General features: G+C 44.2%; 1 protein-coding gene across 3 annotated transcripts in view, besides 6 other annotated features; it reads left to right on the plus strand.

Annotated features, from left to right (window-relative positions):
• Window positions 2324-2373: an enhancer, noted in NCBI's record as "active region_28149". NCBI's record gives its function as "activates an Ori minimal core promoter by ATAC-STARR-seq in GM12878 lymphoblastoid cells {active_cell/tissue: GM12878}" and the evidence as "EXISTENCE:reporter gene assay evidence [ECO:0000049][PMID:35858748]".
• Window positions 2754-3113: a silencer, noted in NCBI's record as "silent region_19748". NCBI's record gives its function as "represses an Ori minimal core promoter by ATAC-STARR-seq in GM12878 lymphoblastoid cells {active_cell/tissue: GM12878}" and the evidence as "EXISTENCE:reporter gene assay evidence [ECO:0000049][PMID:35858748]".
• Window positions 3067-11929, plus strand: part of RCL1 (RNA terminal phosphate cyclase like 1) — a 68123-nt gene continuing 59260 nt past the window's right edge. For all 3 annotated transcript variants that reach the window (NM_005772.5, NM_001286700.2, NM_001286699.2), the window contains exon 1: window positions 3067-3350. In NM_005772.5, the coding sequence (NP_005763.3) occupies window positions 3215-3350 (136 nt within the window). In that variant the 5' untranslated portion in view covers window positions 3067-3214. The remainder of the gene's footprint in view (window positions 3351-11929) is intronic.
• Window positions 3194-3243: an enhancer, noted in NCBI's record as "active region_28150". NCBI's record gives its function as "activates an Ori minimal core promoter by ATAC-STARR-seq in GM12878 lymphoblastoid cells {active_cell/tissue: GM12878}" and the evidence as "EXISTENCE:reporter gene assay evidence [ECO:0000049][PMID:35858748]".
• Window positions 3318-3817: an enhancer, noted in NCBI's record as "H3K27ac hESC enhancer chr9:4793195-4793694 (GRCh37/hg19 assembly coordinates)". NCBI's record gives its function as "activates a minimal SCP1, AML or CMV promoter by ChIP-STARR-seq in primed H9 embryonic stem cells {active_cell/tissue: H9 hESC(primed)}" and the evidence as "EXISTENCE:reporter gene assay evidence [ECO:0000049][PMID:30033119]".
• Window positions 8412-8706: an enhancer, noted in NCBI's record as "tiled region #12609; K562 Activating DNase matched - State 5:Enh". NCBI's record gives its function as "activates a minimal TATA promoter and a strong SV40 promoter by Sharpr-MPRA in K562 cells {active_cell/tissue: K562}" and the evidence as "EXISTENCE:reporter gene assay evidence [ECO:0000049][PMID:27701403]".
• Window positions 8441-8490: an enhancer, noted in NCBI's record as "active region_28151". NCBI's record gives its function as "activates an Ori minimal core promoter by ATAC-STARR-seq in GM12878 lymphoblastoid cells {active_cell/tissue: GM12878}" and the evidence as "EXISTENCE:reporter gene assay evidence [ECO:0000049][PMID:35858748]".

The raw sequence follows: 11929 nt of genomic DNA on the forward strand, positions 1-11929 counted from the left end.
AAAATGGCATGGTACTCGCATAAAAACAGACAAATGGACCAGTGGAACAGAATAGAGAACCCAAAAACAAATCTATAACCCTACAGTGAACTCATTTTCAATAAAGGTGCCAATAACATACACTGGGGAAAAAACAATCTCTTCAATAAATGGTGCTGGGAGACCTGGATATCCATATGCAGAAGAGTAAAACTAGACTGCTTTCTCTTGCCGTGTACAAAAACCAAATCAAAATGGATTAAAGACTTATATCTAAGACCTCAAACTATGAAATGGCTACAGAAAATATTGGGGAAAATCTCTAGGACATTGGTTAGGCAAAAATTTCTTGATTAATAACCCACAAGCATACGCAACCAAAGCAAAAATGGGATCATATCAAGTTAAAAAGCTTCTGCACAGCAAAGGAAACAATCAACAAACTGAAGAGACAACCCAAAGAGTGAGAAAACATATCTGCAAACTACTCATTTTGAGATATCATCTCATCCCAGTTAAGATGGCTTATATTCAAAAGACAGGCGATAACAAATACTGGTGAGGATGTGGAGAAAATGGAACCCTTGTACACTGTTGGTGGGAATGTAAATTCGTGCAACCACTATGGAGAACAGTTTGGAGGTGCCTCAAAAAACTAAAAATAGAGCTACCATATGATTCAGCAATCCCACTGCTGCGTGTATACCCAAAAGAAAGGAAATCAGCATATCAAAGAAATATCTGCACTCCCATGTTTGTTGCAGCACTCTTCACAATAGCTAAAATTTGAAAACAGTCAAAGTGTCCATCAACAGATGAATGGATAAAGAAAATGTGATACATATACACAATATAGTATTATTCAGCCATAAAAAAGAATGAAATCCTGTCATTTGCAACAACATGGATGAAACTGGAGATCATTATGTTAAGTGAAATAAGCCAGGCACAGAAAGAAAAACATCACATGTTCTCACCTATTTGTGGGATCAAACAATCAAAACAATTTAACTCATGGAAATAGAGAGTAGAAGGATGGTTACTAGAGACTGGAAAACATAGAGGGGGTGGGGATGTTGGGGGGCAGGTGGGGATAATAAATGTGTACAAAAATTAGAAAGAATAAGATCTACTATTTGATAGCACAACAAGGTGTCTGTAGTCAACAATAATTTAATTTTCATTTAAAAATAACTAAAACAGTATAATTGTTTTGTTTGTATAATAACACAAAGAATAAAATGCATGAGGGGATGAGTACCCTATCCTTCAGGATGTGATTATCACACATTGCATGCCTGTATCAAAACTTCTCCCGTACCTCATATATACATGTACCATCTACCTACAAAAATTAAAAATTAAAAAAATTATATGGAACCACAAAAGACCCAGAATAGCCAAACCTGTCCTAAGCAAAAAGAACAAAACTGGAGGAATCACATTACCTGACTTCAAATTATACTACAGAGCTAGAGTAAACAAAATGGCATGGTACTGGCATAAAAACAGACACATAGATCAGTAGAACAGAGCGGAGAACGCAGAGATAAATCCACACAGCTACGGTAAACTCATTTTCGACAAAGTTGCCAAGAACATACTCTGGGGAAAGGACAGTCTCTTCAATAAATGATGCTGAGAAAATTGGATATCCATATGCAAAAGAGTGAAACTAGATCTCTATCTCTTGCCATTTACAAAAATCAAAGAAAAATGGATTAAAGGCTGGGAGTGGTGGCTCACACTTGTGAGGCCAAGGTGGGCCAATCGCTTGAGGTTAGAAGTTTGAGACCAGCCTGGGTAACATGGCAAAAACCCATGTCTATACAAAATACAAAAATTAGCTGAGCATGGTGGTGCACACCTGTAGTTCCAGCTAATGGGGAGGCTGAGGTTGGAGGATTACTAGAACTCGGGAAGTTGAGGCTGCAGTGAGTCATGAGCATGCCACTCCACTCCACTTTATAACACACTGTTGTCTACATAAGGCTAGCTACATCCCTTAATCTTAAACTCCCACCGCTTTCAGACACTATCATACCCCGCCCCCCTTCCCCCCGCGAACCCCCGTGCATTCTGGGACTCATGGTTTGGTGAGTGTTGTCCAGGAATGGCTACAAACCCACATTACTATGATATCGGACTTCTACTTGTGTAGTCATTTGTTAGTTAACTGTACATTTTGGAAGGTTTTTGAGTAGAGAAGTGAAATAATCCAACGTTTGGGAAGATTTTCTTGTGCAGGATTGGAGGAGGACGGGAAAGAGGGAAAAAGCATTGCGCGCGTGTGTGTGTGTGAAGTTATTACAACTATCTATCTTGAAGCATGCGAGGTAGGAGGGCCTGAATTGCCATGAAACGCAATGACGATAAACGAAGGGACCCGTGAGAAAGGGGCAAAGAGGTGTCTCAATAAAATAAGCAACGGCCTGCTGTGGGAGGATTCGGGTCTCAGTATAGGCTGCCACTGTCAGCTTTGCAATATTCCTCGAGCCTTTATCCATGAGTAGGACAGGATGGCTCTACCTTGCAGGGTTACAGCATGGAGCTGCGGGACTGCGCCGGCAGTGCGCTGAGCGGCATCCCTGCGATAGGGTGAGTGCACCAACCCTTGTTGTCTCTCTTAGTAAGAAAGAGGAGGGGTAGATAATAGCATCTTCACCCCAGTAGTTGCCGTAAGTAGTAATGCTAAGAATCCGGCACGTCGTAGGCATCAATCTCAGTCCGCCATCTCCCCTTGCTACCACGCCAGGAGGTACACAGAGGAGACTGCCCCGACTGGCAACTCCCGCGCCGGGGTTCCCTGGCCATCCTCCCGCGTTCCCTCCAGCCGCGCGCTGTTGCCAGGGCCCGGGCACCGCCCAGCTCCACTACGGACCAATGGCAGCGCGGCTTGGGCACCGCCCAGCTTCAGCGGAAGCCAATGGAGGCGCGGCGCGGGCACCGCCCTGATCCGGCGCGGGCCAATAGCGGCGTGGCCCGAAGCGGGGGCCGCCCCGGTCGGGCGGGGAGGCGGGGAGGTGGCCACTGGCTCCGCCCCGCTCCCCTCTGACCCGGTGTCTAGTCTCTCCGTCTTCCTGTTCCAAACCACGTGGACGCGTCTGGGCTGCTGGAGGCAGCCCGAGCCGCCGCCGTCGGTGTCGCCGCCACCACCACCATCGGAGTCACGAGTCCCGCGTCTGTCCGAAGTCGCCGCTCTCGGGCTGCTCACGTCTCTTCGGAGAGCGCGCACATGGCGACTCAGGCGCACTCCCTCAGCTACGCAGGGTGCAACTTCTTGCGCCAACGTCTGGTCCTGTCTACCCTGAGCGGGCGCCCCGTCAAAATCCGAAAGATTCGGGCCAGAGACGACAACCCGGGCCTCCGAGGTAACTTGGTGTGGGCGGCGCGCGGCGTGGGCGCGGGGGCTGAGGGGAGACCGAGCTGATGCCGTGGGGGCCCGCGCGGTGTTGGTTGGGCGGCTCGGCGTCCGGCGAGCGCGTCGGGGAGGGCAGGTGGCGCGTCGCCTCCAAAGCCGGAGGGGCAGGCACAGTGGGGGAGGCGGGGTCGGGGCCCGAGGGGAGCGCTCAGCTGCAAGCTGCGCTCGGCGTCTCCGGGGCGCTGGTAGTAAACAGCTGCACGTTTTCCAGCTTTACGTGTAGCAACAAATCCCTGGCGTCGCCCCTTCGCGTCCCTTCGGCCCCTCTTGCCCTCGCCATAAACCTCTCAAAGGAGAAAAACAGTTTGTTGGACCGAAATATGGTGAATGAGCCGGGGGAGAGACATTGGGAGAGAAAAGTACCTTGGGTTGGTTCTCTGCCCTGTCTCAAAGCAGTTCTCAGAAGCAGCTGCCCCCTTGGACACCGGCTGTTCCTGTCGCCATGATTTCTCGGCTGCCCTCACACTTGTCCTTGGGTGTGGATAAAGAAATTTTTAAAATTCTGTGTTTGTTTTCAGCCGTGACTGTGATTGATGTGCGCAGGACAGGAGCTTTGAGATAGACTTTTAACAGTCATGGGCCTAATTGCCTTGACTTTAGAAAAGGGGTCGGTGACAATCGCTAAACTGCAGGCTTCCAAGCTCACTTCTTGCTCTGCAATGGTAGGTTAAAAAGAAATAGGCCCATTTAAACCCACATCTCATTAAATGGCGCCGGTTTTCAACTGGCCTTGGTTTACACCTGGCCCCCTGGCATGAGATACATGCATTTAAAAGCTTCTGACTGGTGGTTATCCCAAGTTGGGCGAGTCAGTAGTCAGGTGAAAAAGGAAAAAACCTGTCTGTAAATTGAAAAAGAGTGTTTGTGGTTGGTCCTGGAAGCTTCCTGAGCGGCGCTGATGTGTTTCATTTTGCACTGGCTCTTGTTTTATCTGTCTGAATGCATTTTTTGGATAGTTAGATCTCTGCCTCTCTTGGGTGGTGATTGGCTGCACATAAAGGGCAGAAGATGCCATGCTATTGACGGAGATAGGTTAGGAAGGAAAGAAGCAGAATATCCCAGGTACAGTGGTGAGAAACCTAGTGATGGTAGGAAAAACTTGTGTTGGTGGTTCCTGTCCTCTCTCTACTGCTCAAAAACACTGAGAAAGTTAGGGAGAGACCACAAATGGTTTATGCCACGACTTTTCCGTCAACAAGTGTTCCACTTAGTTTGACCCTTGGGCAAAGTGTTTGCTTGATTGCTGTGTGGCATTCTCAGCCAGCTCTCCATCCACTTTACCCTCAGGTTAGCTCAGAGAACTTGCCACTAGCTGGATATGGTAAGAAGATGGACTTCTACTTTGTATAAAAGTAGGCATAACTTTTTTTTTTTTTTCCAGAGAAATGGAAGTATAGCCTGGAAACCTGGGTTCTCTAAAATGAATCTAGTTCTATTTAGAGTTTTTCTATTGACAGGTGGCCTCCAATTTAATATTTAATGTTCCAAAGTATGCTTCTCCTTCTCCCCCTCCACTGTATGTGAGCATCTCTTCAAAGCATCTCACACATATGAGCTCCCGTTTCTTCCAAGAACAGGGCTTGGCCACTTGGCACTTTCTTGAAAGGGTGTCAGACGCTGATACCTGAGGGAGGTAGAACTGCTTGGCAGGTGTGCTGGTATTTTATGGGGAACATTACTGTAGAGCATTATTTGCCTTACCCCGTTCATATACCAGGGGAAGAAAGAGACTCCTAGTTATTTGTACATCCTTGCGCTGGCTTCAGGGCCTCAGAAACCTTGTAGATGTTTGTCTGCTTAATTTCTTTCTTTTTTTTTGAGACAGAGTCTTACTCTGTCTCCCAGGCTGGAGTGCCGTGGTGCGATCTCGGCTCACTGCAACCTCCGCCTCCTGGGTTCCTGCAATTCTCCTGCCTCAGCCTCCCTCGTAGCTGGGATTACAGGTGCCTGCCACCATGCCCAGCTAATTTTTAGTAGAGTATTTTTAGTAGAGATGGGGTTTCACCATGTTGGCCAGGCTGTATGAAACTGCTGACCTCAGGTGATCCGCCTGCCTTGGCCTCCCAGAGTGCTGGGATTACAGGTGTGAGCCGCTGCGCCCAGCCTGTCTGCTTAATTTCTTACAGAGGGAACAGAGAGATAGATATGCATTTGCAGATATACATGTATATGTGTATATGTATACACATACATGTAAGTGTATATACATATACGTGCACGCATAAATAGATGTAGTCCCTGACACATGATTTCTGGTCATAATCAAGGGAGTCCTTGGTAGCTTGATTGAAGATGTAGCCGGAAGCCTATGTTGCCCGTCATCTGTCCCTTTCTGACTTTTCCTAACTCAGATTCTCAGAGTTGGAAAAAACTCAGAGCATATCCAATAAAATCTTCAGTTCTAATGCAAGAATCACATCTCTTCAAGGTGCTTGCTTAAAACATCCCTCATGGTGTGGGCTTTGGAGGGTAGGGATAGTATGGGAGGCTTTCGGCCTCAGGAACATTTATTTAGAAAGTGTTTATTGAGCCACAGTATGTGCAAGGCTTTGTATGGGGGTGAGTGTAATATATGTGAGAAGCTGGTTGCCCCTGTTCTCATGGAGCTTGTCATGTAAGTAGGATGTTACTAAGTTTGAGTAACTTGAAGTAGGAAGGATTGAGTATTGTACAGGGGCTCAGTGGAGTTCAGAGCAGACACTTCCCTGAAAGTTACGAAGGAAGGCAGGTTTTCTGGACCTGATCTGGACAGATAGGATTGAGATGGTGGCTGCGGAAATCATTGTTTGCAAAATAAACAGTTCTTTTTTTAAAGAAATTTTATTTTAGAGTCGGGGGTACATGTGCATGTTTGTTACATGGATATATTGCCTACTGGTGGGGACTGGGCTTCTGGTGTACCCATTATCCAAATAGTGAACATCGTACCCAATAGGTAATTTTTCAATCTCCCTCAATCTTCCTCCTTTTCCAGTCCCCAATGTTTGTTATTTCCATGTTTAAGTCCATGTGTATCCATTGTTCAGCTCCCACTTATAAGTAAGAACATGGAGTATTTGATTTTCTGTTTCTGAATTAGTTCTCTTAGGATAATGGCCTCTAGCTCCATGTTGTTGCAAAGGACATTATTTCATTCTTTTTTTTGAGACAGAGTCTCACTCTGTCATGAGTGCAGTGGTGTGATCATGGCTCACTGTAGCCTCAACCTCTTGGGCTCAGGTGATCCTCTCACGTTAGCTTCCTGAGTAGCTGGAACTACAGATGTGTACCACAGCATCTAGTTGATTTTTAAAATTTTTTTTGTAGAGATGGGGTGTTGTCTATGTTGCCGAGGCTGGTCTTGAACTCCTGGACTCAAGCAGTCGTCCTGCCTCAGCCTTCCAAATTGCTGGGATTACAGGCATGAATAACCATGCCCAGCCTGATTTCATTCTTTTTTATGGCTGTGTAGTATTCCATAGTGTATATATACCACATTTTCTTTATCTAGTCAACCATTGGTGGACACTTAGGTTAGTTCCATCACTTTGGTATTGTGAATAGTGCTGCAATAAACATACAAGTACAGGTGCCTTTTTTGTATAATGATGTCTTTTCCTCTGGGTAGATACCCAGTAGTGGAATTGCTGGGCCATATGGTAGTTCTATTTTTAGTTCTTTGAGAAATCTCCATATGAAAGAAACAGTTTTTAAGTCAAAAAGTTCTTTATTTTCTTTATTTTACTGAGGTAAAATCCTTAATTTGTCATGGTCATAATACTTGGCAATTAAGAGCTTGGGGTCAGTATTGGACCTTGGTTTGAGTACGAGTTCTGCCTTTCGCTATTAGCTCTTGGTCCTTGGGCAAATTATTTTAACTATTCTCTTCTGAGCCTCAACTTTTTCACCTGTAAAGTGGGGCCAGTACTACTGACTTCACAGGGTTATTGTGAGGACTAAATGAAATAATACTTCAAAGTGTACTGAACAGTGCCTGGCACATAGGAAGAATAAATGTTAGCTGATTTTATTATTATGTAGCTTGAACCCACTGGGTATAGGTCTGCTCCCTGGCATGCCAAATCCGTTCCTGCTTCTATATGGAAATTTTTCAGATATTTGAAGAGAATTATGCCTTCTGTAAAGTTCTTCTCCTAGGTGGTTGTTTCCACGTATTTCTATGTTATATGTAAAGCACAGTAGTTTTCAACCAGGGGCACTTTTGTTCAGTGGGGGACATTTGGGAGCATTTGGAGACATTTTTGGTTGTCACAGCTTGGCAGAGGGGAATGCTACTGGCCTCTAGTGGTTAGAATCCAAGGGTGCTGCTAAATATCCTACAGGACAGCCTCCCACAACAAAGAATTATCCATTCAAAATGTCAGTAGTGCTGATGTAGAAAAACCCTGGCCTACTTGACAGTAGTAATTAAACCTTTTCTTTTCCCTGTATCCCTAATGATTAGGAATAGCAGCATGTGACACCAAGAAGACTACACAAGGATTTAGAAACAAATGAGACACAGATCAAACTCTGTGACTTCAGGCAAATCATTGAATCTCTTAAAACTGTCCCCTTCCATTGCAAAGGGGTTGTAAATACTGAAAGGAATCTGAACCCCAAAGAAGGATGGTCCCGGGCTGGTGATTATAATTGTCCAGCCACATGTATAATTTATGCTTCCGTTTTGAGGAACATGAACAATTAAGTTTATCTCATTGTACTCTTCCTTTCATTGAAGAGGAAGTAAATATTTTTTCTTGTTGCTGCTGTTTTACTCAAGGTAAAAAAGCCAACCCGTAGTTAGGTAAGATAGTTGGTGAAGACAAACGTGTAGTGAGGGACAGAGCTGGAAAGAGAATGTGGCCAGCTCCTGCCTGAAGGACCTGTTCTCTCTCATTTCACAGCGTGATGGACCTGGGTGTTCCTCATCAGTATTATAAAGCAGCTGTCCAAAGTGCCTCTATCTCTGGATTTCATGAGGACTGTGTCCTGCAGGGTTCAGTTTAACAGTCTCTGTATAATGTGAGGTCTAAATGGAAGAGAATCCCACCAGAATAATTGTTTAAAGTTGGAATAGCAGAAATAATGGACTTGAACAAGAGCAGTGACATAGGAGTCAGAAGACAGGACTGCTACTACCCAGGATCCTGAGCAGGTCATGTAACTAAGCCTTAGTGTCTTCCCCTGTGAAATTGAGAGGAGTTACTTGGTCCCATGGGGGAGTGCTCCATATGGCTTAAGCAGATAAGATTCTGAAAAAGAAGAGCTAAGTGGAGTTTTAATCAAAAGGGTCCTTTAAAATGTGCTGAGGAAGCATGCCACAAAGAGGTCCTTTGAAAGGTAAAACATGTTTTGGTAAACCAGTGCATTGTTTTGGGAATAAATCTGGCTGTTCCTAACTTGGATCCTTTAAAAGGAGGATGTGCCTATATTTTATTTCGGCCTGGTTTGGGACCCAGAATTCTTGATGGACAACTGGTTTTGGGGCGTAACAGATAACTTTACTACTAACTGTAGATTGAATATGTCCTGTTAATCAGGAACATACCCTTTTGTGCCTCTGATGACAAAGTATGCTTCCAAGTGATGATTTTTGGCTGCCCAAAATAAGACTTCTTCTTTTTTTTTTTTTTTTTTTAAAGGCAAATGCCAAGAATCCTAATGACCAGTTTTCAGATACAGTGTTGTTTGGAAGCTGTTGTATAAATGCCTTGCCTTTTCTTTTCTTTTCTTTTCCTCTCTCCCTCCCCTTCCCTCCCTCCCTGTCTTCTTTCCCCCTTCCCCCCTCTCTCCCTCCCCCATCCCTCTCCCCCTCCTTCTCTCCTTCCCTCCCCTTCCTCTCCTTCCTCTTTTTCTCCCTCCCTTCCTTCCTCTCTTTCTCTTTTCTTCTTTTTCTTAGAGATGGGATCTCACTATGTTGATCAGAGTGATCTCAAACTACTGGCGTCCAGTGAGCCTTCTGCCTAACTGTCCCAAAGTGCTGAGATTACAGGCAAGAGCCACAGTGCCTGGCCGTAAGTGCTACTTCAGATGGAACTATCTACCATCTTTTTTAAGAAAACAAACTTTTTATTTTGAGATAATCGTAGATTCACATGCAGTTGTAATAAATAATGCAGAAAGATCCTGTCTGTACTTTATCCAGTTTCCCCCAATGGTGATATATGGAAAAACTATGGTACAATGTTAGAACTAGGATATTGACATTGATACAGTGAGATACAGAACATTTCTGTCACTCCAAGGATTCTTCATGTCTGTTGCTCTTTTGTAGCCACACTCAGTTTCCTCCTTCCCCCACTTCTTCCTTAACCCTTGTCAGTCTCTAATCTGTTCTTTAATTTCTGTAATTTTGTCATTTGAAGACTGCTCCATAAATGGAATCATATAGTATGTAACCTTTGGATTGGCTTTTTTCTGTTTTCTTAAATTTTATATTATAAATTAAAAAAATTTTTAAAAAGAAAAAACTTGAAGGGCCTTGAATGAGTCCTGTATTTTTATTTTTTGTCACTACCTCCCTGGGTTGGGAGTGGGTAATTTGCATGCTTGCTACCTTCCTTGGATGTGGTAGCCATTTCTCAGACTCTGACTCTGGAATCAAACCCTGATTCCCTGTCACCCATGGTCACCGTGGTAGGCATGGTGACTATCATCAAAAGTTGATATGGCAGACGTTCATATGGGTTGTTGCTGCCACATGGGAGTGTGTGATTAGCCTGAGGTTATCTAGAGTCACTATAAGGACTGGCTTTTTTTCAGTCAGCATGATTCTCTGGAGATTTATCTAAGATGTTTTTATCAAGTTTGTTCCCTTTTGTTGCTGAGTAGTATTTCATGGTATGAAAAGATCACAAGTCTTTTTATTTACCTGTTGAAAAACATGTAGGTTGTTTCCAGTTTTTGGCTATCTCGAATAAGGCTGCTATAAAAATTTGTGGACAGGTTTTTCTTTTTTTTTTTATTTTTATTTTTTATGGTGTCTAGCTCTGTTGCCCAGGCTGGAGTGCAGTGGCACGATCTTGGCTCACTGCACCCTCCCACTCCCGGGTTCAGGCGATTCTCCCACCTCAGCTTCCCGAGTAGCTGGGATTACAGGCACCCACCACCATGCCCAGATAATTTTTGTATTTTTAGTAGAGACGGGGTTTCGGCACGTTGGCCAGGCTGGTCTCGAACTCCTGATCTTAGGTGATCCACCCACCTCAGCCTCCCAAAGTGCTGGGATTACAGGTGTGCACCACCATGCCCAGCCAGGTTTTTTTATTTTTTTATGTGAACATAGTCTTCCTTTCTCTGGAATAAATGCCCAGGAGTGCTCTTGCAGGGTTGTATGGTAGTTGCATGTTTAGTTTTTTAAGATATTGCTGCCCTGTTTTCCAGTGTGGATGTATTTTTTTTTTTTTTTTTTGAGATGGAATCTCGCTCTGACTTCCAGGCTGGAATGCAGTGATGTGATCTTGGCTCACTGCAACCTCCGCCTCCCAGGTTCAAGTGATTCTCCTGCCTCAGCCTCCAGAGCAGCTGGGATTACAGGTGTGCACCACCACACCTGGCTAATTTTTTATATTTTTGGTAGAGACGGGGTTTCACTGTGTTGGCCAGGCTGGTCTCCAACTCCTGACCTCAAGTAATCCTCCTGGCTCGGCCTCCCAGAGTGCTGGGATTACAGGCGTGAGCCACCACACTGGCCTGGATGTACCATTTTATATTCCTATCTGTAGTGTATGAGGGATTCAGTTTCTCTGCATCCTTTCTAGCATTTGGTGTTGTCACTACTTTTATTCTGATAGGTATGTAGTGATGCCCCAGGGTGGTCTTAATTTGCGTATTACAAATGACTAATGATGTCTTAAGTGAAACATCTTTCCAAGTCTTTTGTCCATTTCTAATAGGATTGTTTGTATTAACTGTTTTGTTTTGTTTTTTTGAGATAGGGTCTTGCTTTTTCATCCAGGCTTGAGTACAGTGACACGATCATGGCTCACTACTGCCTCAGCTTCCTGGGCGTAAGCAAATCTTTCATCTCAGCCTCCCGAGTAGCTGGGACTACAGGCACATACCATCATGCCCGGCTAATATTTTAACTTTTTGTAGAGATGGAGTCTCGCTATGTTGTCCAGGCTGGTCTTGAATTTGTGGCCTCAAGCCATCTTTCTGCCTCACCTTTCCAAGGTGTAATTCCTAAGGTATTACAGGTGTGAACCACGGTGCCTGGCCTCTACTGTTGCTTTTGAGACTACTTTATATATGCTAGTCTTTTGGCAGATTTGTAGTTTGTTAATATTTTCTCCCACTGTGCACCTTGTCTTCTTATTATCTTAATATGGTTTCCAGAGGAAAATATTTTAATTTTAATGATGTAGAATTTATGATTTTTTTCTTTTGTGGCAGTGCTTTTAGTGTTAAGTCTAAGAACTCTTTGCCTAGCTTTAGGTGCGAGACTTGGGTTGCGATTCTTTTTTTTTTTTTTTTTTGCCTATGGAAAGCCAATTGCCCAAGCATCATTTGTTGAAACGGCATCTTTTTTCCATTTAATTGCTTTTG

This window comes from Homo sapiens, chromosome 9 (genome assembly GCF_000001405.40).
Source record: "Homo sapiens chromosome 9, GRCh38.p14 Primary Assembly".
Taxonomy (NCBI): Eukaryota; Metazoa; Chordata; class Mammalia; order Primates; family Hominidae; genus Homo; species Homo sapiens.